Genomic DNA, 24295 nt, shown 5'->3' with positions numbered 1-24295 from the left:
ACAAAATTTTATCACCATGTTGGATTAAAAAAATAAAATCACACTCATTTTTGGCAAGCTTTCCAACCAAAGATGGTTAAAATAAGCCTCTAATGGCTAGGTCACACCCTTGGCAAAAAGACACATAGTGTGTTACATTTAACATAGTAAAGACCACTGACAATTAACATTCTCCTACATCCTTGTGGCAAATACTGAACGTTGATTCAGAAAATTGTATTCCTAATCAGAAAACTGTGGTTCTGCCTTGGTTTTTTCTTTCTGGCATGTGCACACATCCTCACCAAAAATTGCAAAAGTAAACAAACACATCCACTCTCATCACATAAGAATGGTCTGTTGGGCAATAATAAAATCTGAATAGATCCCATGTCATAATATAATTGTATAGAGTTTTATAAATTTTGGGTACTTCAACTTTTAAATAATGACTTAGTATTAAACTGCTTTTTGTTTGAGTTTTTAGAAATGCTAGATTCAATGTGGTAAGGTAAATAATTATTCTTCAGTCTCAGGCCATGGTTGCTGAGAAGAAAAAAAAAATTATCCTTCAATACAGAAACAGATTACTAATTAAGAATAGAAAACTTGGCCAGGCACGGTGCCTCCCGCCTGTAATCTCAGCGCTTTGGGAAGCCGAGTCGGGTGGACTGCCAGAGCTCAGGAGTTCGAGGCCACCCTGGGCAACATGGTGAAACCCCGTCTCTACTAAAATACAAAAAATTAGCTGGGCGTGGCAGTGTGCGCCTGTAGTCCCAGCTACTTGGGAGGCTGAGGCAGGAGAATTGCTTGAACCCGGGGGTGGAGGTTGCAGTGAGCTGAGATCACGCCACTGCACTCCAGCCTGGGTGACAGAGCGAGACTCCATCTCCAAAAAAAAAAAAGAAAAGAAAACTTAAAAAAAAAAAAAAGGCTGTGATGAACATTATCAAGCAAGCAAAAGTGCACGTTAGCACCAACTCATTCTCCTGCTAGTATCAACTGAAAAATATAACAAGGGTTGCAAGCAAACGTCCATCAATTCACACACAAACAAGGTTGTTATCAAAGTATGTTAATATATTGAATGTATAGAAGATTTACTAAAAACCTCTTGTTAAACCTGTTCTGCTGACACTCCAGGACACTAGTATTACTAAAATCCCAAGTACCAGAGCTTGCTGACATGGAAGATAAATCCAAGAATGGGTATCAATGTACTTGCTGGGGGAAAAGAAAAAACTTTTTTAATTTATAATTTTGCGTGTTTAACACTATGGATGTTAAAAATATTTAAATTTTCCTTATTTTTGTACCAGATGTTCACCTGGGCTAACAAAAAAATTTATTACTTGACACAATTTAAAAAAAAAAATCAATAAGGATACAAGAGTAGTGACAATACAAAAGCATTAGTAAGAGAAACTACAATACTGTATCAGATAAAAGTTGGCTAGGCACAGTAGCTCACGCTTGTAATCCCAGCACTTTGGGAGGCCAAGGTGGGAGGACTGCTTGAACCCAGGAGTTCCAGACCAGCCTGGACAACACAGTGAGACCCTGTGTCTACTATTAAACAAGAAAAAAAAAAAGTTGTTGCCAAAGTCACGACATGGTGAGTTGACAGGTACTATTTTCTTTAAGATGTCTCTAACCTTCAAAAGTATAAATAAAAGTTTTACAAAATGTAATTTCTATTATCTTTAAATTTAAGGTCTCCAGAATTATTTCCAATAACAGATGAGGTTTATAAAACACTTTTTAAAGTCTGAAGTCCCTCTAGAATTCCAATGGAAGATTAAATGTTCATGATGAAGAATGAATTCACAAGTTTTTGGGGGGATATGAAATATTTTATGTCTAACCTTAATAAGCCCCACCTAGCAATGCAGGGCCACAATGATATTGAATTTTAACTAGATCTAGAGTACAACCTCTAAGTGTAGATTCAACATTAAAGCAAAATACATGCAGCTAGTTTTGAAATTTTGAGTAAACTGACAAAGGAGTACTTTTAAAGTAAAAAAATCAATGAACACCCAATGTTAAAATATAACATTTGAAAAACATTTCAAAAATAATGAAGCTTTAAATTGGCAAGGTCCGAACCATCAACTTGCTTCAATTTGAACACTTAACGCAAACAAGAAATGCAGCAGCTGTCAGATGCCGTTAGTGATTCAACTGTGAAATAAAAGGTTCCAACCATAATGCTTAAAAAAAAAAAAAAAAAAAAAAAAAAAGGCCAGGCATGGTGGCTCATGCCTGTAATTCCAGCACTTTGGGAGGCCAAGGCAGAAGGACCACTTGAGGCCAGGAGTTAAGAGACCAGCCTGGGCAACCAAGTCAGATCACATCTCTACAAAGAATGTAAAAAAAAAAAGAATTAGCCAGGCATGGTGGTGTTCATCTGCAGCCCTAGCTATCTGGGAGGATGAGGCAGAAGGACCGCTTGAGCCTAGGAGTTTGAGGTTACAGTGAGCTATGATGCTGCTACTGCAACTCCAGTCTGGGAGACTTTGTCTCTTAGAAAAAAAAGAGAGAGAGAAAATGGAGTTACTGATCTGTATCTCATGTATCACACAATCCACTTACTTAGAGCGTACAATTCAGTGGTTTTTAGTATATTCAGAGTCGTGCAACCAAGACTACAATAAATTTTAAAGCATCTTCATCACCCCCCAAAAAAATCACATACCCATTAGCAGTCACTGCCCATTTACTCCTAACCCTTGGCAGCTACTAATCTACTTTCTTGTCCATATATTTGCCTATTCTGGACATTCCATATAAATGGAACCACACAATATGTGGTCTCTTGTGACTGGTTTCTTTCATTTAGGAAGTTTTAAAGGTTCATTTATATTGTAGCACAATTTAATAATTCTTTTTTTATTACCAAATAATATTCCATTGTATGGATATGCCACACTTTTTTATCCATTCATCAGTGGATAAACATTTGGTTTGTTTCCATTTTTTGGTTATTATGAATAATGCTACTAGCAACATTCATTTACAACTTATGTGCACAGAGGTTTTCAATTCTCTTGAGTATGGAGTATACGCAAGTGAAATTGCCAGTCATAAGGTAACTCTATTTTTAACACTTTGAGAAACTGCCAGACTGTTTCTAAAAGCAGCTGTATCATTTTACATTCCCACCAGCAATGTACAGAGGTCCAATTTCTCTACATCCTCAACAATACTCATTATTTTCTTTTTGATTATAGTGATCCCCGTGGGTGTAAAGAGGTATCTCATTGTGGTTTTATTTCTCTAATTAATGTTACTGACCAGCTTTCATGTCATTATTAGACATCTGTATATCTTCATAGAGAAATGTCTACTCAAATCCTTTGCCCATTTTGTAATTATTTTTTATTAATGTTTCAAGAGTTAAAAAAATTAAATATTCTAGATATAAATTCCTTATCAGATACATAATATGCAAATATTTTCTCTCAGTCTGTGGATTGTCTTTTCCCAATTTTTTTCCTTTTGAGACAAAGTCTCTCTCTGTCACCCAGGCTGGAGTTAAGTGGTTTGATTATGCTGAGACTTGACCTGCTGGACTCAAGTGATCCTCCCACCTCAGCCTCCCTAGTAGCTGGGACTACAGGTGCACACCACCACACCCGGCTAATTTTTGTATTTTTTTGGAGAGATGGGATCTTCTTATGTTGGCCAGGCAGGTCTCAAACTCCTGGGCTCAAGTGATCCTCCCGCCTCAGCCTCTTAAAAGTGTTGGGAGTATAGGCACGAGCCACTGCGCCAGGACTTTTTCCATTCTTTATTTATTTTTTTATTTTTTTTTTGAGACCGAGTCTTACTCTGTTGCCCAGGCTGAAGTGCGGGTGGCGCGATCTTGGCTCACCGCAACCTCTGCCTCCCAGGTTCAAGTGATTCTCCTGCCTCAGCCTCCCAAGTAGCTGGGATTACAGGCGCCCAGCACCACGCCTGGCTAATTTTTGTTTTTTAGTAGAGATGGGGTTTCACCATGTTGGCCAGGCTGGTCTCGAACTCCTGACCTCAGGTGATCTACCCACCTCAGCCTCCCAAAGTGCTGGGATTACAGGTATGAGCCACTGCACCTGGCCTCCATTCTTGTTGGTATTGTCTAAACCACAAAATTTTTAAATTCTGATTAAATACAATTTATCAACTTTCTTTTTACCACTTGTGCTTTTGGTGTCACATCCAAGAAATCACAGTCTAATCCAAAGTCACAACTACTTGTGCCCATGATTTCTTCTAAGAGTTTGACTGCTTTAGTTTACATTTAAGTCTTTAATCCATTTGGTGGTAACATTTTGCATATGGTGCAGGGTTAGGGTTCAACTTCATTCTTATGCATATGGATTCCAGTTGTCCTAACGTCTCCCCTGACTTAACTATCTTGGCATCCTTGCTGAAAAGCAAGTGACTGCATATATTGTAAGGTCTTTCTTCTGGACTCTGTATTTCATTAACTATGGATTTATTCTTATGTTACTATCATGATGTGGCTCTGTAGAAAGTTTTGAAATTGGCAAGTTCAAGTCCTCCAATCTATTTTCTCAAGGTCATTGGCCATTCTATGTCCCCTGAATTTCCATATGAATTTTAGGATAAAAGCTTGTCAATTTCTGCAAAAAAGCCAGCTGGGATTTTGACAGGCACTGCACTAAATCTGTTGGTTAATTTGGTGAGCACTGCCATTTTAATATTAAAATTTTCAGGATCATAGCATGTGTCTTTCCACTTAATTTCAATAATGTTTTATAGTTTTCAGAATATGTTTTGCACCTGGTCCATTTATTTCTAAGTATTTGCTTTTTGATGTTATTGGTAATCAACTGTTTTTTGTAATTTCATTTTTGTAGTGTTCATTGCAACTGTCTAGAAATATATTTGATTTATGTATATTGAACTTGTATTCTGCAACTTGCTGAACTCGATCATTAGTTTTAACAGATTTTTGTGATTTCCCTTGTGATTTTCTATAGATAAGATCATGTCATTTGTAAACAGATAGTTTAACTTCTTTCTCAACTTGAATGCCATTTAACGTACTTGACTAATTGCCCTGGCCAGACAATGCTGAATATAAATGAGAGTAAATATACTTATTTTGTTCCTGATCTTAGGGAGAAGGCATTCAGTCTTTCACCATTAAATTATGTTAGCTTTGGATATTCTGTAGATGGCATTTAACAGGCTGAAGTCCCTTTTATGTCTAGTTTTATTTATTTATTTAGAGATAGGGTCTTACTCTGTTGCCCAGGCTGGAGTGTAGTGGGGTGTTCTCAGCTCACTGCAACCTTTGTCTCCAGGGTTCAAGCGATTCTCGTGCCTCAGCCTCTCAAGCAGCTGGGATTACAGGTAGGCACCACCACGCCTGGCTAATTTTTGTATTTTTAGTAGAAACAGCGTTTTGCTATGTTGGCCAGGCTGGTCTCAAACTCCTGGCCTCAAGTGATCTGCCCACCTCAGCTTCCCAGAGTGCTGGGATTACAGGTGTGAATCACTGCGCCCAGCCTAGTTTGTTTTTATAATCATTAAAGGGGGTGTTGGATGTTGTCAAATGATTTTTGTGAATCTATTGAGATAAGCATGTGGTCTTTGTACTATATTCTTTCCTTGATTGCTTTATTATAAATTGATATGGCACAATACATTAATTTTCAGATGTTAAATCAACCTTGCTTTTCTAATATACCCAAGATATATTTCCTAATATATCTTGGATTCAAAAAGATACTCTTTGAAACTTTTGATGCTTAGTCAAAAAAACCCTGATATTGTAAACTGAGCTTTAAAACACACTTTGCCTGTAATCCCAGCACTTTGGGAGCCTGGCCAACATGGTGAAACCCCGTCTCTATTGAAAACACAAGAATTAGCCAGGCGTGGTGGTGGGCGCCTGTAGTCCCAGCTACTTGGGAGGCTGAGGCAGGAGGATGGCCTGAATTTGGGAGGCTGAGGTTGCAGTGAGCAGAGATCGCGCTACTGCACTCCAGCCTGGAGGACAAAAGCAAAACTCTGGCTCAAAAACAAACAAACAAACAAACAAAAAACCCCACACACTTTGTAACTAGGCATCCCAATACTTTTATTGGGGTGCTTTCAAAAATTAATTCTGCTCTGGTTTTAAAAAATAAGCTTTTGAAGGGAGTTAACTGGTTTCAGAGAGATGCAGGCCAAGCTCCTGGTGTTTGTGAGGAAAAAAGGGTGAATGGAGACCAGAGACTTACTGCCTCCAAAAGTGTATGTCATAGTTCAAGTCAGCATAGCACTTGGCGTTTTTTTTAAAATGGTAAAATAATGCACCAAACTAGTAAAATCTTAATCTTACCTGCACGAGGTATCGTGGATCCACATTTAAATAAGGAGACAGAGGGTTCATACCAGTTACTAGAGAGAAAACAAAATGTCACATTGCAACAAAATTCTTTAAGTTAATCCAGTTAGAGTTAATCCAGCTCCTGACTGTTACATGTGTTTGCAATTTTTATAGGCTCACTGAAGGCGGAAAATTTTTTCCCATTTTATCCTCCCTATCTGTCAGTTTGGGGGCTGACTCATCCTGAGACCCTCAATCCCAAACCAGGTCTTCCACTGGTGGCTCAGGCTTTTACACCAATAAGATAATTGCAGTGTCATAGATCTGATTTTTGAACTTACAGGAAGTGTAGTCCAGGCCATTTACAAAGCTAATTTCTTTCACTTTACTCCAAGAATGCTTGGTGACTATGTAAATTACAAAATAAGACTGAAAAAAGACTAATCAATTCCATGGGAAAAACAGTGGTTGGGTTGGGTTTTCTGACTGTGTACATGTTGTATCTAACTATTTCAAGGCAGTTCCTTCACATATTACTATTAACGATTGATTTACTGTGGCAAGGTTGAGAATCCTTGGGTCATTACCACAGGTATGTGGGTCTGTGCAAAAGAAAACACAAACTTTGAGAGGGCCAGACCTGAATTCACTAACATTGAAAACAGTAAAACCTATCATCTTTGGATCCTTCTGTATCTCAGCAGTTATTTACAAACCTATGCATCACCCATGCCTCTATCTTTTCATCAATTAGGAGTCCTGCTTGTTCTATTTTTAATATCTATTTTGAATTGTGTTACTTATCTTCTCTATTGCTACCATCCTAGTCCAACCATCATATCTCACAGCAACAATTTCCTAACTCCTTGCTTTCTCTTACCCCTTCAATTCACTGTCTACATAGCAACTACAGTGATTTGTCTTAAGAAAATCGAAACTCCTTACCATAACTTACAAAATCCTACATTAGCTGTCATTCCCTACCTCTCTGATTTCACAAACTTCAATGGATCCAACTCCCTTGTAACTACGAAGACAGACTGGCCTAAGAGCTGTTCCTTAAACCTGCCAAATTTGTTTTGTTTCAGGACATTTGCACTAGCTATTTTCCTGGATACTTGCCTCCCAAGCATTTGTACTGTATTTGGGTCACAGCTCAAATGTCAACTCCCTTGAGATGTTTTCCCTAACCGGCTCTAAAATGGCATCCTGCTTCCATCACAATCTCAAGACTCTGCTTTATTCCCTTTACAGCACTTATCACTAACGGCAATGTTTTAATTTATGTTTGTTGGTTTACCTCAGTATTATGTAAGCTCTGTGAGCGCAAGAGTCCTCTTTTCAAAAAAAAACAAAAAAAACCCCCACAAAAACCACTATAGTCCTGCCCCCAGAAAAGTAGCTAGCACACTGTAAAAGCTCAGTAAATGGTGTTCATTCCCTGGTCCCCCAATTTACCTTCAAATCTTAATCAAATTAATTTAACAATATTGTCACATTAAGGAAGTGTATATGCCCTTTGTGCTCTGAAACTCAGAGATACTAAGATTAATATGAAACTGTGTTCTAAACAGGTAAAGTAGTAGCTCAGGCCTAGGAATCCCAGCATTTTGGGAGGCCGAGACAGGAGGATGGCCTGAGTTCGAGAGTTTGAGACCAGCTTGGACAACACAGGGAGACCCCATCTCCACAATAAGTCAAAAAAAAAAAAAAATTAGCCAGGCGTGGTGGTACGTACCTAGAGTCCCAGCTACTTAGGAGGCTTAGAGGGGAGGATTGTTTGAGCTCAGGAGTGCGAGGCTTCAGTGAACTATAATCATGCCACCGCACCCCAATATGGGTGACAGAACGAGGTCCTGACTCTAAAAACAAACAAACAAAAAAACGAAACAAAACACCATGTGTTGTAGATTCAGTTTTTTGACAAAGGTGACACCAGGGAAATGAAAGGTCTTTTATATTTTTTTGCACTACAGTCTGAACATATTTCGTTGTTGTTGTTCCTTAGTATAAAATACCTAGAGAAATATTACAAGGATTCTCTAAAAAGAAAGTACTTTCGTAAAGGCTTTATCCACGACCAACTGCCTATCTTTAGGTCCAAGTTGTATTTATCTAGTTGAACAACCACAGTTACAAAGTACCAAAGTTCTGGAAAACATTTTCACAAGACCGAGGAGAGGCAAAGGCAAGATATTTATGCCTCTGTATACCTTGATGTTGCCTATTTCCGTTTCTATAATTCTTACCTGGCTTCTTTCTTCATGTCTATATATCACCTTTAAAGTTCAGCTTACTTCCTAGCTCCTAAAGAAGGTTTCCTAGCCTGTCCCAAGTCATTTATTTCTCACTTACAAACAATATTACTGAATATTCTGCCCTGACGGCTACTTGGAGGCTCAGAATATGTCGCTGTGTACTAAAAAGTTAACTACGGGCTTGCTATTTGGAATACATTTACTCCCAAAGCTCGGCTCTACTCTTAATCAAGGGTCAATCACACGGCCCACCACACACAAAACGTAGGAGGCTTGGATATAAACCTAAGAAAACATGCATCATCTCGCGAGTCCAGGTCAATCACGGACAGCTTCCCCAGGAGATCCGTGGCCCTTTTTTAGGCCTTTCTATCTTGAAAGAGCAGCCATGCAGATACACTAACCCCACCACTGGTACTTAAGCTTGTAAATGCCAGCAAGGAAAAAAAAAACAACAACATAAAACATGGGACGCGCAACTTAGTGTAGACGCAAAAACCAGTCAGAAATAATCGCAAGCTAGGCCCCATACTTACGCGGGACGCCAGCCAAATCCGCGTGCGAGTAACCTGCTCCGCCGGCTCCGAAAAAGCCGGCCAATCCCCCTGTGGTTTTGTTGCCGCTTCCCCCGCCTCCTTCCATGGTATCGCAGCAAACCGAGTGGTTCCCGCCGCTGCCTCAAGCCTGGGTGGTCCGCTGGGCCGTTACTCCTCAATAACAGCGGGTAACCCCGCGTTGCCAGCGCCTACTTCACACGCTGACCTTCCGGGCGCCGGTTCCCGTTAAGCGCCACACTTCCGCTTTGCGGCAATGTGCGCCCCGGAAGCTGGAAGCGCCTGACGGCAGCTTTCCGGTGGTGGGAAAGTGAACGAATCCCGAATCAAAGCGGCGCATTGAGGCAGGTGGGGTGCCAGTGGAAGAGAGAAAGCAGGCGAGTGTTTACGGCCTGACTTGGGAGGCCGGCGGATCAGCAATTGCAGAAGCAGGCAGCGGCAGAGAGGGAATGGTGCAGGCAGGCGCTGAGAAGGACGCGCAGTCCATCTCTCTCAGGTTAGTGAAATGAGGCTCTCCGCCCGGGGCCGGCCCGGGGACAGTGCGCTGCTGGTCCCAGCATGAATGCGGGCCCCGGCTGTGAACCCTGCACCAAGCGACCCCGCTGGGGCGCCGCTACAACTTCGCCGGCTGCTTCGGACGCCCGGAGCTTTCCGAGCAGGCAGAGGCGCGTCCTCGACCCCAAGGACGCTCACGTGCAGTTCAGGGTCCCACCGTCCTCGCCAGCCTGCGTCCCAGGGCAGGCGGGACAGCACAGAGGCAGCGCCACCTCGCTTGGTACGTGGGAAAATAAAAATCTTTGTCCTTCGCCTCGGCCCGAACCTTCTGGTCTCAGGGACTCCAGTCACTCCTTTCTGGTCTTGTGTGCATCATCACTCTGAGGTCCACTTGCTGAGCTACCAAAGCCACTAGTGGGTGAATGGGGCCGCATTTTTCCCAGTGCGATTGATGTGAGAAACTCTGATGAGCAGTCACTCACAGGGCGGAAAATGGCAGGAGACTCCACCACCTGTTTGCTTCTTCAGGTTTGATTGAGAAATTGCCTTAGTCGTCAAGGAGATCTAATTGTGTATGTAAAACAGTAGGGCGCTTCAGCCTCTAGATAGGAAGAAAACAACTTCACTTGTGCAGATTCTGGGTCCCAGGGTGCAGAGCTATTAGTCTAAGCTGGCATTGTACCCGTCCCTGGTATACAGTGTTGAATGAGAGAAACTTGGCCTCTGCCTTCATACCTTAAAATCTATCTGGAGAGATAGACGATAGCAAAAGTTAATATAATAAAAGGTAATGGATGTTCTGATAGATGAAAGACAGATTGTTTTACCTAACTGAATTTATGGAATCGAAAATAGTCCTCCAGAAGATGAGATGCTTATTCTGAGGACTGTAGAATGAGTAGGAGTTAGATGAAGAGGAAGTAAGAAGTGTTTCAGGAGTGCAATGGAGGCCGGGCGCGGTGGTTTTGCCTGTAATCCCTGCGCTTTGGAAGGCCGGGGCGGGTGGATCACCTGAGGTCAGGAGCTCAAGACCAGCCTTACCAATATGGTGAAACCCCGTCTCTGCTAAAAACACAAAAAATTAGCCTAGCGTGGTGGCGGGCAACTGTAATCCCAGCTACTCCGGAGGCTGAGGCAGGTGAGGCAGGAGAATCACTGGCATCCGGGAGGCGGAGGTTGCAGTGAGCCGAGAGGGCACCATTGCACTCCAGCCTGGGCAACAAGAGCGAAACTCCGCCTCAAACAAAACAAAACAAAACAAAACAAAAACAGGAGTGCAATTGATATATAGAGTGAACGCAAGAGAGTGTGAGAGATGAGGCTGCAGGGTGGTACAGAAAAGTCAGATCAAATTGGATATGTAGACATTGCTAAGGATTTTGAACTCTAAGGGCATTGATAAGCTACTCAAGGGTTTTTAGTAGGGGAGTGACTTGATTAGACTTATTTATTTGTTGAAAAGTCTGTGTGGCTGGTGTGTGGAAAATAAAGAATGGATTGAAAAGGAACTCAAGTGGAGCATCAAGACTCAGTTAAGGAGTTAATCTAGGTTGGAAATAATTGTAGCTTAGGCCTGGATGCTGGCAATAGGGAAGGGGATGGATTCATGAAAGAATGGGATACTTGAGAAGAAATATTTCTGTGCTGGAGAAGTAGATTGGGGAGTTCATGGCATAAACATTATAATGGATGCTATGGGCATAGATAACATAAACATGTAGAGAAAGTAAAGGTGACCTAGGGCAGAAGCCTTAGGAACACCAAAGTTTAAGAGTAGACTGAAGAGAAGCGGCTGTAGAGGTGGGAGGAAAGCCTGGCTCGTGTTGTGTCAGACAAAGGAGAGCATTTCAAAAAGGATGCATTCATTAACAGTGTAAGAGGCTGGGCAGAGCTCGGGCAGTTCTCTGGTGAAGAGTGTACACTTAGATGTCTTCGAACTTAGGGACAGTACCAAGTAGACTTGCACTAGGCCTTGAAGGATGAGGAAGATTTGCTGTATAAATCAAGAGGAGAAAGAATTATACACGCAGAGGGAATAAGACATGCAAAAGTTGGTAAGACTGGAGCATAAGATGACAGAGGAGTGTCTGATGAGGCTGGGTGGCAGACAGGAGCTTATGAAGAAACTCAAATTCCATTTTAAGGAATTTCAACCTTATTCTGTGGTTAATGGAGAAACCACTAAAAAGCTTTTAAGCGTGGGAATACCATTTGGTTAATATTTTAGAAAAGTGGCTTTTGGACTTTCCTAACTGCAACCCACAGCATAAATTTTATCCAGTACACAGAGTAAGAAATATATGTAACCTGGCAAATAAGCCATATTTATAACTGAAATAAATGTTTCATGAAATAATACTTAATCTTTCTATGTGTGATGCATTCTTATATTGTCTGTGTTATTTCATTGAAAAATGACTGGTCATTTGTAGTTTGTAGAACACTGGATAGTCAAGGCTGTAGACAGGGAGACTAGTTGCAAGAAACAAATGGCAGTTGTCTAGTAAGCGATGTGTTTAAAGAGTATGAGGAAGGGATGGATTTAAAATTTAGGATGTAGATTTCAGAGAACTTGGTATAGGGGAGAGGGAACTGAAGGTGAACTTCAGGTATATGTTCAGGTGTACTTCAGCTTCTGTGACTGGATAGTTTGTGGTTTCATTAACCTTATTTGCATGTAAAGGAGGAGGAGTTAGTTGCAAATAGGGGTGAGGGCAGTCAGTCCTCACTGGTTGGATCTTAATTAAGATTTCTGCAGAAGAGGTACCAAATGAATACTTGGGGCTGTATTTCGCATGTTTAAATGTTTTCTGTATACCTGGCACAGGACACCAATTAACAGAATGTTCAAAGACTATATTTGTATCAAAAGCCCATTGTTTGAATTTTTGGGATTCCTTTAGGAACTTGGTATTTAAATTTTTATATATAATTATCTTAGGACAAGTAGGCGGGGTAGCGAAATGGATATTTATTCAGTATCTTTAAATTTTATATTCTTTATCTTCCTGGACATATTTCTTGTATTGACTGAAATCGCTAATTTTGCTGGGCATGCACCTGTAGTCCCAGCTACTTGGGAGGCTAAGGCAAGAGGATCACTTGAGCCCGGGAGTTCCCGTCCAGCCTGAGCAACATAGCGAGACCCCACTTCTGAAAAAAGAAAAAAAAAATCTGCAAACCTGCATATTGGCAGAACTCAGCATGTTATTCACATTGTGATGACGCAGGTTTATCCAGATGTGTTGCTATAGACTTTTTGTGAAAGTGGAATGTTCCTTTGACATGCAGGTGAATTTTATTGCATTTTGTGCCTTTTGGCTGTATCTATAGCTATTAATTGAATGACTTGCTGATTAAAATATACTGGGTACTGAATAATGTTGCTGATGAGAGTAAATGTAAATGGTGTGAAGTCAAAGTTGGAGAATTATTGATCTCAGTGGAAAAAAAAAAGACTGGGTGGAAATGTCGAGAGATAACATATTGAGTGCTTTGTGAGGCTGAACACAATATTTTCTCTAATTTTTGCTTTGTAATTGATCCACATAACCCTTAGAAGTAGGTGTTGTTAGCTTCATTTTCTGGGTGAGGAAATAAAGGCTTAACGAAGTGATATTGCAAAGAGCAGTAAGCAGTCCTTTCTCTGAGGCCCTAAGAAGGACTGATCAATGTTTTATTAGCAGAAGATACTGGTTCCTTACCTCTTGCTTTTCCTCCTTCATCCCTTCCCCAGGCTTCAGGAAGCCTGAAACTGGAGAGAGAACACATTCTCAGGGTCAGGGCTACGGGAGAGAGCTCTCTTCTTCTTTGCCATCACTGGAACACTCCTGGTTTTTCATGAAATGATGTGTGCGGTCTTTAGGTTCTTTAGACTTATCACGGGAGTACATGCTTCGTGTGTGTTATAGGAACCTAGTCATTGCATCTTAACATTAATCCTTACATTTATGGAAAAAAGATGTTTTAACTTCTAAACCAACTCAAAAAATGAATGTTTTGGCATATTACTGGTTTGTAATTTGAGGATTTTTTTTTTAGTTTTTGAGACGGAGTCTCACACTGTCGCCCAGGCTGGAGTGCAGTGGCGCGATCTCCGCTCACTGCAAGCTCCACCTCCCGGGTTCACGCCATTCTCCTGCCTCAGCCTCCCGAGTAGCTGGGACTACAGGCGCCCGCCACCACGTCTGGCTAATTTTTTGTATCTTTAGTAGAGACGGGGTTTCACCGTGTTAGCCAATCTCCTGACCTTGTGATCTGCCTGCCTCGGCCTCCCAAAGTGTTGGGATTACAGGCGTAAGCCACTGTGCCCGGCCCAATTTGAGGATTTTCTAAACTATACTTGCTGTATTTGATATAAAGAAAATAAATAGAGAATACAGAACTGTAGAAAAAATTTCAGAATCAAATGGTTTATCCTCTTACTCCCTCTGACTGAAGCTCATTTTTTCTCTGAAGCCTGATCTGCTGCAGAAATGCTAAATAAAATCGTGGAAGTAATGGTGTTTAACAATAAGAAATCACTATGCGTGATTACTTTTTTGTGATAGAAACTATTTTTGAAACATTAATCAAAGATTTTTACTAGCTGGATTATAAGTATTTTGTGGAAGGTAAAGATTATATAGCAATTGAATATTTTTCTGGTATAAAATTCTCCCCATCTGAAATGTATTTCGATTATGCCATTATTTCAATGAAAAATAAACCATTGATTTTCGTATATTTGGCCTGCATCTGTTTTGCTCCATATGGTGTTTGAGGAGAGGTAGGTAAATAAGAAAGATCCTGTGACTTAGGATGCTAAGATTCTTACATTGCAATTTAGTGAGTATCTCAAATCTTAAACATTTGCGAATGTTTAAGATTTTATTTCTGATACTAAAATATGATGTACATTTAATCCCTATTCAGTATGTTAAATTTTGACAGCATACTTATTTCTAATGATTATATAAAATGTGGCTTGTATTTATTTATATTTAATCTCCCTCTCCTGAGCTATCAATTCTACTTTTGCTACTGTCTGCTGGTGTGTTGGGAAGGAAACCTTAGGAAGCCAGAAGTAGTGATATGGTTTTCTATCTAGTTACTTCTTTGGCATCTCAAATTTAGTATAGGCAGAATTGACCTAATCGTATTTCTTCCCTAAACACAATTCTCTTGTATTCCATATTTCTACTTAAGGCTGTCATCACTTTTCAAGTCTCTCAAGCTCAAAGCTTAAAGTCACTTTTAACTTCCCCTATTATTGTGAAGTCTGTAATGACTCTCCTCACTTTTACTACTCTCACAAGGACTAGTTTATGTTCTTGGCAAGTAACTGTTCAATCTAGTGGATCATCAGAATCACTTTTGGAAAAAAAAAAAATAGATTCCAGCTCCCCTCATGCCTTCATCCTACTCACATATAGATTCTGATTCAGAAGGACTGGGGTGTGGCTGGCTTCCTGATGATCCAGATAGTTTGGGAACCACTGACCTGGACTAGTAGCTTCCTCCCTAGTTTCTGGCAATACGCTCTTCCCTCTTGCCCCTCAAATTTATCCTCCAGGCTGTCATGCATGACTGTGAGCCTCCTAGATGAGAGGAATCATGTCTTTCAACACGTTTTTTGTGCTTCTCTTTGTGGGTCATTCAAGATCCTATTGTATGGTATGATCCTGGCTGACTTTTCAACCCTATTTTCTTTTGCTTTCTTTTTAAGTTCTTTATATTTCCCTGATATTGGTGCCTTTGCTTATAATTTTCTCTTTATGTGACTGCATGTTTACTTTTCAAGGCATAAGTCAAGCCTTACCTTTTCCGAAGAAATCTTACCGATTATGCCCATGTTCTCCTGTTCACTGAAGTAGTGTCTTCCTCAGAAATAACCTTAATTCCTTTATCAGGACCTCTTTTAATAATCATGATAATTAAGAATCAACATTTACTAAGCGTAAACCAGATAATGCCCTAAATGCGTTACATGAACTATTTTTACTTAATTAAGCCTTATCTCATGAGAGATAGTTATTTTGCATGTTTACAAATGAGGGATCTGAGATACAGAGAAATGACCCCTCACAGAGTAACATAGGAAGCTAATGGGAGAATCAGGATTTGAATGCAGATGTTCTGATTCCATAGCCTATGCTCTTATCCATTAGGCCATACCAACTCTTTTAGGCACCAGTCATTTTCTACCCTGTGTCATATGTATTAACATTTATGTTCCTGTCTTACCCATATACTTGAGGGCAAATACTTGAGTTATTAATCTTTTGTTTAACCCGTAGAACCTAGCATAGTTCCTTGCATGTACAATATGCTGTATATGTTTTCTATTGGAAGGAATGTATGAATATACATTTTTTTTATAGTTTTCAAACAAAAAACTATTACCAGTTGGATGGACACTGAAGGAATCAAGACAGCGGAATCAGACAGGTATAGAAACATTCCTATGTAGAGAAATGAATAATAATACATGGATGTTTTATCTTGTTGCTTTAATATTTTCTCTCTTTGTTCATGCTTTTCTGTTCTCCTTTATCTATGTTAATTCAAAATCAACTTATAAGTAATTTTTTAGAGAGTCCTGTGTGCCAGGGACTGTCCTGTATACTTGAGATACCGAGATGAGAGAGGAATAGTCCGTGTCTTTTTTTTTTTTTTTTTTGAGATGGAGTCTCACTCTGTTGCCCAGGCTGGAGTGTAGTGGCGTGATCTTGGCTAACTGCAAGCTCTGCCTCCTGGGTTCACGCCATTCTCCTGCCTCAGCCTCCCAAGTAGCTGGGACTACAGGCGCCCACCACCACGCCTGGCTAATTTTTTGTATTTTTAGTAGAGATGGGGTTTCACCGGGTTAGCCAGGATGGTCTCGATCTCCTGACCTCGTGATCTGCCTGCCTCGACCTCCCAAAGTGCTGGGATTACAGGTGTGAGCCACTGCGCCCGGCCAGTCTGTGTCTTTAAGATACTTACAGTGTAGCAGTGGCCACAGACACAAAAACACATAATTACTGCCTGGTGTGATAGATGCAATAGTAAAGGTATGAGCAAGGCACAGTGGTGGTTAGTGTGTAGAAGAAACAAATGTTCAACTTTACCTTTGGTCCCTAAAGGAAGACTGCACAGAGAGGTGAGTGACATTTATGACTTGAAGGAAAGGCGGGTGTTTGCCAGACACACAGCTGCAGGGAGGGCATTAGGGATCACATACAAAGACATGGAGTCATGGAAGACATGCTGTGTGCTCAGCTGACCACAGGGAGTTTAATTACTGCTGTGACACTGGAGGTATGATTGGATAAGTGACTTGTTTGTATTATAAGTTGTTTTTAGTTCCTTCTGTTCTCTTGTAGTTTGGATAGTAAAGAAAACAACAATACAATAATAGAATCCATGATGAGTTCTGTACAAGAAGATAACTTTTACCAACATAATGTAGAAAAATTAGAAAATGTTTCTCAGCTAAGTCTTGATAAGTCACTCACTGAAAAAAGTACACAGTATTTGAACCAGCATCAGACTGCAGCAATGTGTAAGTGGCAAAATGAAGGGAAACACACGGAGCAGCTTTTGGAAAGTGAACCTCAAACAGTAACCCTGGTACCAGAGCAGTTTAGTAATGCTAACATTGATCGGTCACCTCAAAATGATGATCACAGTGACACAGATAGTGAAGAGAATAGAGACAATCAACAGTTTCTCACAACTGTAAAGCTTGCAAATGCAAAGCAGACTACGGAAGATGAACACGCCAGAGAAGCCAAAAGCCACCAGAAGTGCAGCAAGTCTTGCCATCCTGGGGAAGACTGTGCAAGTTGTCAGCAAGATGAGATAGACGTGGTGCCAAAGAGTCCATTGTCAGATGTTGGCTCTGAGGATGTTGGTACTGGGTCAAAAAATGACAACAAATTGATTAGACAAGAAAGTTGCCTAGGAAATTCTCCTCCATTTGAGAAGGAAAGTGAACCCGAATCACCGATGGATGTGGATAATTCTAAAAATAGTTGTCAAGACTCAGAAGCAGATGAGGAGACAAGTCCAGGTTTTGATGAACAAGAAGATGGTAGTTCCTCCCAAACAGCAAATAAACCTTCAAGGTTCCAAGCAAGAGACGCTGACATTGAATTCAGGAAACGGTACTCTACTAAGGGCGGTGAAGTTAGATTACATTTCCAATTTGAAGGAGGAGAGAGTCACACTGGAATGAATGATTTAAATGCTAAACTACCTGGAAATATTTCTAGCCTGAATGTAGAATGCAGAAATTCTAAGCAACATGGAAAAAAGGATTCTAAAATCACAGATCATTTCATGAGACTGCCCAAAGCAGAGGACAGAAGGTAATTTTCTGTCAGGAGTATCTCTCCAATAGCATAATATGCTTTATAGTTTTGTAAGGGAGTTTAACGAAGCTATGATTTCTAGTAAAGCAAAGAAATGGTTTTGTTTCTTGTTAACTACTTATGCTAAATTTAAACCTAGGCTCCAAAGTTTAAACTCTAAAAAGGCTAGAAACAGAAAACAAGAAATAAAATAAATATTAGAAATCAGATTTTTAGTTTCATGAGTTTCCTTTTGGTATTTATGGGAATTACTAGAACATGAAAATACTAGGTTGATAGTAGCTACTGTTTCTTCAGCCAGACATTCTTCTAGACCATTGTATATTACACTTTTTTTTTTTTAACACTTTGTTTAATGCCGTGACAGGCAGACAGATGGTATTATACTCACTAAATGAGATAACTGAGATTTGGGTAAGAGAATTCACTGGAATCATGTACCTTCTGAGTGGTAATGCTGGGATTTAAATCCAGGTGTGTCCTATTACAAAGCTTATATTTTGCCGTTACCCCATATGGAATCTTAAATCCCATCCATGATTTCTGTGATTTGAGTTTCCTGAGATAGTGCAATCAGCATGCAATAGTGAGTTCACTTCATTGAAAATTACTGTGTAGATGATACTGTGAACCATGACTCATTTCTGTTTTGAGAAGGTGATTTACATGTGTTTGGAACTTTCTTCCACAGACTGTTGAAAATAAGCTCTTGAGTTTTATAAGCTTTATAGGTTTTTCTTTTGATTGTAAATATAAAACATAACGAAGTGAGTGACCAAGTATGGCATACTTTAAACAATAACGTCTGGGTAAGTTTTGTGCTTGTGTATCTAAGGGAATTAAAACAGTAAATAATTTGTGACTAAATACATTTGTCTTGACCTTAGAAAAGAACAATGGGAAACCAAACATCAAAGAACAGAAAGGAAGATCCCTAAATACGTTCCGCCTCACCTTTCTCCAGATAAGAAGTGGCTTGGAACTCCCATTGAGGAGATGAGAAGAATGCCTCAGTGTGGGATCCGGCTGCCTCTCTTGAGACCATCTGCCAATCACACAGTAACTGTTTGGGTAGGTAGCACCTCTTATCTATGATGAGAGAAGACTGGAAGTCCTTATTTATTGTGATATTTATTAAGTGAGAAACAGACCAAGGCTTAGAAAGTTCTTCTGTTTTCTGCATATATAAAATACTGAGAATTCTACAGAATGGAGCAATATAATGATAACTTACTTAGTATAGAACTTAACAAATTAGCAATCATTAGCAATCATTATCAGCTGATGGTGAAGATAATTTTTTTTTTTCCAGTATTTTTAAGAAACCTCATTGGATTCTTTTTTTTTCTTTTTACTCAGTTGATAGTATTGTGTACTGACTGCAGAATCCTGCATTCGTCCCTAAATTTCAAAATTACGTATGGTTTAGTGTCCTTAAATCATTATCCAGTTGTGCCTTTTTTTTGTTTTTGTTTTTTTTTTTTTTTGCTGGAGACCAGAGTTTTCTTATTACTCAAATCAGTCTCCTCGAGCATTCGGGGATCAGAGTTTTTAAGGATAATTTGGTGGGTTGGGGAAGGCCAGTGAGTCGAGAGTGCTGATTGGTTGGGTCAGAAGAAGAAATAATGGGAAGCTGAAGCTGTCCTCTTGTGCTGAGTCAGTTCCTGGGTGGGGACAAGATCAGATGAGCCAGTATATCCATCTGGGTGATGCCAGCTGATCCATCAAGTGCAGGGTCTGCAAAATATCCCAAGCACTGATCTTAGCAGTTTAGGGTGGGTCAGAATCTTGTAGCCTCCAGCTGCATGACTCCTAAACCATTATTTCTAATCTTGTGGCTATTTTGTTAGTCCTACAGTGGCACTCTAGTCCCCAGGCAAGAAGGGGGTTTCTTTTGGGAAAGGGCTGTTACCATGTTTGTTTTAACATTATATTATAACATTATAACAACATTGTAACAAAACATAACAAAAGACTAACATTATAACAAAAGACTATAACGAGGGCTATGGGAGTTACAAGCCAAGAACCTGGACAAAAACCAATGTGAATATCATAACACTATACTAACAGAAACTGTACATATTAAACATATTAAATAATTAAACCTCCTTCCCTGCTTCCCCTAGTTCTTAGTAACCTCTTTTGTACTTTTTGTGTGTTCTTGCTTTTAAAAAACAACTTCATTGAGGTATATAAAAATTCACCCATTTTAAGTGCTCGATTTGGTGATATTGAGTCCATTTTTTGAGCTATGTGACCATCACCATAATCCAGTTTTAGATTTCCATCACTTGCTGGGTAGTTTTAAACATTCATCTCATTTATTAGTCAGGTTTTATATAGATTTCACACGCAGTACTAAAAAAAATTGACATGATCCCTTTTAACATACAATTTAGTGTAGATGTGATTAACTATTTTGAAATTCAGAATTCTTTAGCATATTTAGAGGTGAGAGTAACATTGAGCAGAGTTATGGGGTTTGAGCTGAGCTCTAAAAGATAAGCATAAATTTCTGAGGTGCAGTTAGTAAGATAGGAGACTTCCAGACAGATATATAAGGTTTATAAGAAAAGGCTGTGTGGTTGAAAACTATCTGTTTTAGAAATGGAAAACAGTGCCTTTGCTGGAGTGTGGAATTTGGGTGGGGAATGAGGAAGAGACTTGAAAATTGGATTGGCTTCATATCACAGGGGGCTTCAAGTGCCAGGAACCAGACTTAAGTCATGTCTGTGCAGACAGTATCTGTGCTGTAGCAAGATTAATCAGACAGCTGCATGTAAGGAAAACAGAAGTGAGGATACACTGGGAGACAGGAGAGGTAATGTAAGAGCCCAGATAAGAGTTAAGTAAGGTAACAGTATGTACCGAATTGTGCCACATAGAGGTGCTTCAGGGGTTCTTTTGAAGTTTGATGCAAATTTCATTTCTAAATTATATTTTTAACAGTGAAAAACTTGTTAAAAAAGAACTGCACAATCAAATTTGAAGATGCTTAATTCCACATTTGAACCAGCTGTTTTTGCCAAGATAACCCATTTTTGTGCAGACGATAGAGCCAAGGTTCCCTTGCTACCATTTATCTGAAGAGTTAGCTTAATATCAAAATAAAGTTTGTAAAATGTTACCATTTGCAACTGTATAGATGGATGAATCAGGATTTTCTTAATAATGTGTAAGAGAGATAAATGTAAACTAAATGGTAGATTGATGTAAGCTTTAACTCTCATCCCTAACTCCTACTTTCAAATTTTGTATTTAAAACTGTCTCATCATCACTTATTGATATTAGAGTAAGTAAAAGTTACTATAAAAACTGTATTTCTTTTTTTTTTTTTTTTTTTTTGATGGAGTTTTTTGCTCTTGCTGCCCAGGCTGGAGTGCAACAGCACGATCTCGGCTCATGGCAATCTCCACCTCCCGGGTTCAAGCAATTCTCCTGCCTCAGCCTCCCGAGTAGCTGGGATTACAGGCATGCACCACCACGCCTGGCTAATTTTGTATTTTAGTAGAGACGGGGTTTCTCCATGTTGGTCAGGCTGATCTCAAACTCCCGACCTCAGGTGATCTGCCCACCTTGTCCTTCCAAAGTGCTGGGATTACAGGCGTGAGCCACCGCGCCCGGCCAAAAACTGTATTTCTAAAAATAGCTTTGGTGTGACTTTAAATTACTTTATGTCAAATTTCTTAGGGAAAAAAGGGATTCTGCTATTTTAAAAAGCTTGAAAATCACTGAGATAATAATCATGGGGATAAAAAAGAAAATAGAAGGTTGCATTATTATGAGGTAAAATTGATAGAATATGGTGAATTCCTAAATATGGGTGACAAATAAAAAGGAGTTGTTGATAATGCATGTAAAATTAAGGTTCTTAGTCTGGATTACTGAGATGATGTTAATGGTGAGGAACTGGAGAAAAGATGGACAGAGGGTGTTAAGTGATATTTTAGCTTTTTCTCTTCCTCCTCTCTCCCACCCTCCCACAAAGAAAACCCAAACCATCCTGTACCGTCATTATATCTCTCTAATATCTACCATCTCTACCATCAAATAATCTCTATAGTTAATGTTTCTTTCTTAGATACCCAGGACCCTTGAGTTTTTAAAATCTTCTGTTTTATTACAAGAGCAATGCAAGACTATTGTAAAAAATATGCAACTATTATATGAAAGCATGTAACTCAGAAAACCCATCTGTCAGTCTTATTCCCAGAGTTTAACAGTTTGTTGTATTTTCTTCTAGATTCTTATTCCTGAATATGATAATAAGATATAAATGTAATTAACAGTTACTTAATAGCAGTGTTTAGTTACATTATTAAGATTCCAGATATTAATAGTTACAGATTTTGAAATAGTAAAATGAAAGTTGGGCATGATAGCTCACACCTGTAATCCCAGCACTTTAGGACGCCAAGGCAGGAGGATCGCTTGAGGCCAGGAGTTCAAGACTAGCCTGGGCAACATAGGCAGAGCCCATCTGTACAAAAAGTTAAAAAATTAGCCAGGCATGGTGGCACATGCCTGTAGTCCTAGCTACTCATGAGGCTAAGGCAGAAGGATTACTTGAGCCCTGCAGTTTAGCCTGGATGACAGAGTAAGACCCTGTTTCTTAAAAATAAAACCAACATTTAGCTTTAGAAATGTAAGGCAATCTGAAATTGCACTTAGTGGTCGATTTCCAACAAACACATGCATACGTGCGTGCATGCAAACACAGAGCCACACACAAAGCATATTACATGTATGTTCCCCTTTTGTGAAGCTCAACTGGTACCTATGCTGTTTTATCAGATGATATGGAACGTCCTTATAAAATCACCTTTGGGACCTTCTTATGAGGGTGAAAATACTTTCAGCATAACTGCTGATTCTGTCACATCTGGCTTTTTTTTTTTTTTTTTTTTTGAGATGGAGTCTTGCTCTGTCACCCAGACTGGAGTGCAGTGGTGTGATCTCGGCTCACTGCAACCTCTGCCTCCCGGGTTCAAGCGATCCTCCTACCTCACCCTCCCAAGTAGCCGGGACTACAGGTGCATACCACCAACCTCGGCTGATGTTTGTAGTTTTAATAGAGACGGGGTTTCGCCATGTTGGCTAGGCTAGTCTTAAACTCCTGACCTCAGGTGATCACCCGCCTGGGCCTCCCAATGTGCTGGGATTACAGGTGGGAGCCACTGCTCCTGGCCTTCTTTTGTTTTGTTTTTGTTTTTTTTTTTAAAGAGACAGGATCTCACTCCGTCACCCAGGCTGGATTGCAGTAGCAGTGGTGTGTGATCTTGGCTCACTGCAGCCTCCAACTCTTAGGTTCAAGCAATCCTCCCACCTCAGCCTCCTGAGTAGCTGGGGTTACAGGCATGTGCCACCACACGTGGCTAATTTTCTAAATTTGTAGCTATGTTGGCCCAGGCTGATTTTGAACTCCAGGCCTCAAGTGATCCTCCAGCCTCAACCTCCCAAAGTGTTGAGATTGCAGGCGTGAGCAACTGTGCCTGGCCACATTTGACTCCATAGACATTTCTTTTCTCCTTGGAATATACTCATCCTTTGGCTCCGTGACACAATATAATCCTAAATTTCTTTCTTCCTCCTCAGCCAATTCTTATTTTCCTTTTAGGCTGTTCTTCTGTATGTGACAAGTAAGTGTTGTTGGAGTTCCTCAAGCCTTTTTCATAGGTCCTTTTTTCTTCTGTCTCTCTCTGGTTGGTCTCACCCACCCTTGTGGTTTTAGTGATCACCTATATAGATGACTCACAGGTTTATTTTTCTTTCTTTCTTTCTTTATTTTGAGACAGAGTCTTGCTCTGTCACCAGGCTGGAGTGCAGTGGCACAATCTCAGCTCACTGCAACCTCTGCCTCACAGGTTCAAGCGATTCGCCTGCCTCAGCCTCCTAAGTAGCTGGGACTACTGACGTGCGCCACGATGCCTAACTAATTTTTGTATTTTCAGTAGAGATGAGGTTTCACCATGTTGGCCAGGAAGGTCTCGATCTCTTAACCTTGTGATCCACCCTCCTCAACCTCCCAAAGTGCTGGGATTACAGGCATGAGCCACCACCCCCTGCCCAGGTTTATTTTTCTTAAGTTGCAGTGTTACTAAACTGAACCTGAGTACACTCACCCAGTGCAGTAAAGCCAAACACCGACACTGACGTCTGTAGCAAGAGAAGTAAGGGTGTTTGTTTGCAGGGCACCAAGCAAGTAGAATAAGGTAGCTATTGCTTAAAACCTGACCTCCCCAATGGCTTACAAGCAAGATTTTTTAAAGGCAGAGATATATTCTAGGAAAGCAGAAGTTATTGGCAAAATCATACATCAATACGTGGGGGTTATATATTGGTTT

At 40.1% G+C, this 24295-nt stretch overlaps 1 protein-coding gene and 2 pseudogenes across 6 annotated transcripts in view, besides 2 other annotated features; 2 read left to right on the top strand and 1 right to left on the bottom strand.

The window, feature by feature from the left end:
• The window catches only part of TIMM23 (translocase of inner mitochondrial membrane 23), a 31254-nt gene extending 21914 nt beyond the window's left edge, over positions 1–9340 (bottom strand). For 2 of the 3 annotated variants that reach the window (NR_073029.2, NM_006327.4), the window contains exons 1-2: positions 9099–9340; positions 6317–6375 (exon numbers count right to left, since the gene is read on the bottom strand). Coding sequence is in view for 1 of the 3 variants with exons in the window: in NM_006327.4 (NP_006318.1) it covers positions 6317–6375; positions 9099–9204 (165 nt within the window). In the remaining 2 variants the exon portion in view is untranslated. The remainder of the gene's footprint in view (positions 1–6316; positions 6376–9098) is intronic. The other variant, NR_073030.2, reaches the window with a different exon arrangement.
• Positions 9166–9856: an enhancer, noted in NCBI's record as "H3K27ac hESC enhancer chr10:51370889-51371579 (GRCh37/hg19 assembly coordinates)". NCBI's record gives its function as "activates a minimal SCP1, AML or CMV promoter by ChIP-STARR-seq in primed H9 embryonic stem cells {active_cell/tissue: H9 hESC(primed)}" and the evidence as "EXISTENCE:reporter gene assay evidence [ECO:0000049][PMID:30033119]".
• The window catches only part of PARGP1 (PARG pseudogene 1), a 117594-nt pseudogene continuing 102699 nt past the window's right edge, over positions 9401–24295 (top strand). Inside the window, exons 1-2 of the transcript NR_029388.2 lie at positions 9401–9612; positions 18835–19018. The product of NR_029388.2 is annotated as a PARG pseudogene 1 (transcript). The remainder of the gene's footprint in view (positions 9613–18834; positions 19019–24295) is intronic.
• The window catches only part of PARGP1-AGAP4 (PARGP1-AGAP4 readthrough), a 146781-nt pseudogene continuing 131940 nt past the window's right edge, over positions 9455–24295 (top strand). For both annotated transcript variants that reach the window (NR_160518.1, NR_160519.1), the window contains exon 1: positions 9455–9612. The product of NR_160518.1 is annotated as a PARGP1-AGAP4 readthrough, transcript variant 1 (transcript). The remainder of the gene's footprint in view (positions 9613–24295) is intronic.
• Positions 9520–9649: an enhancer, noted in NCBI's record as "active region_3323". NCBI's record gives its function as "activates an Ori minimal core promoter by ATAC-STARR-seq in GM12878 lymphoblastoid cells {active_cell/tissue: GM12878}" and the evidence as "EXISTENCE:reporter gene assay evidence [ECO:0000049][PMID:35858748]".

This window comes from Homo sapiens, chromosome 10 (assembly GCF_000001405.40).
Source record: "Homo sapiens chromosome 10, GRCh38.p14 Primary Assembly".
In the NCBI taxonomy this organism is placed as follows: domain Eukaryota; kingdom Metazoa; phylum Chordata; class Mammalia; order Primates; family Hominidae; genus Homo; species Homo sapiens.
Note: the sequence above shows the minus strand (reverse complement) of the source record. Positions and strands in the feature narration are given on the sequence as shown.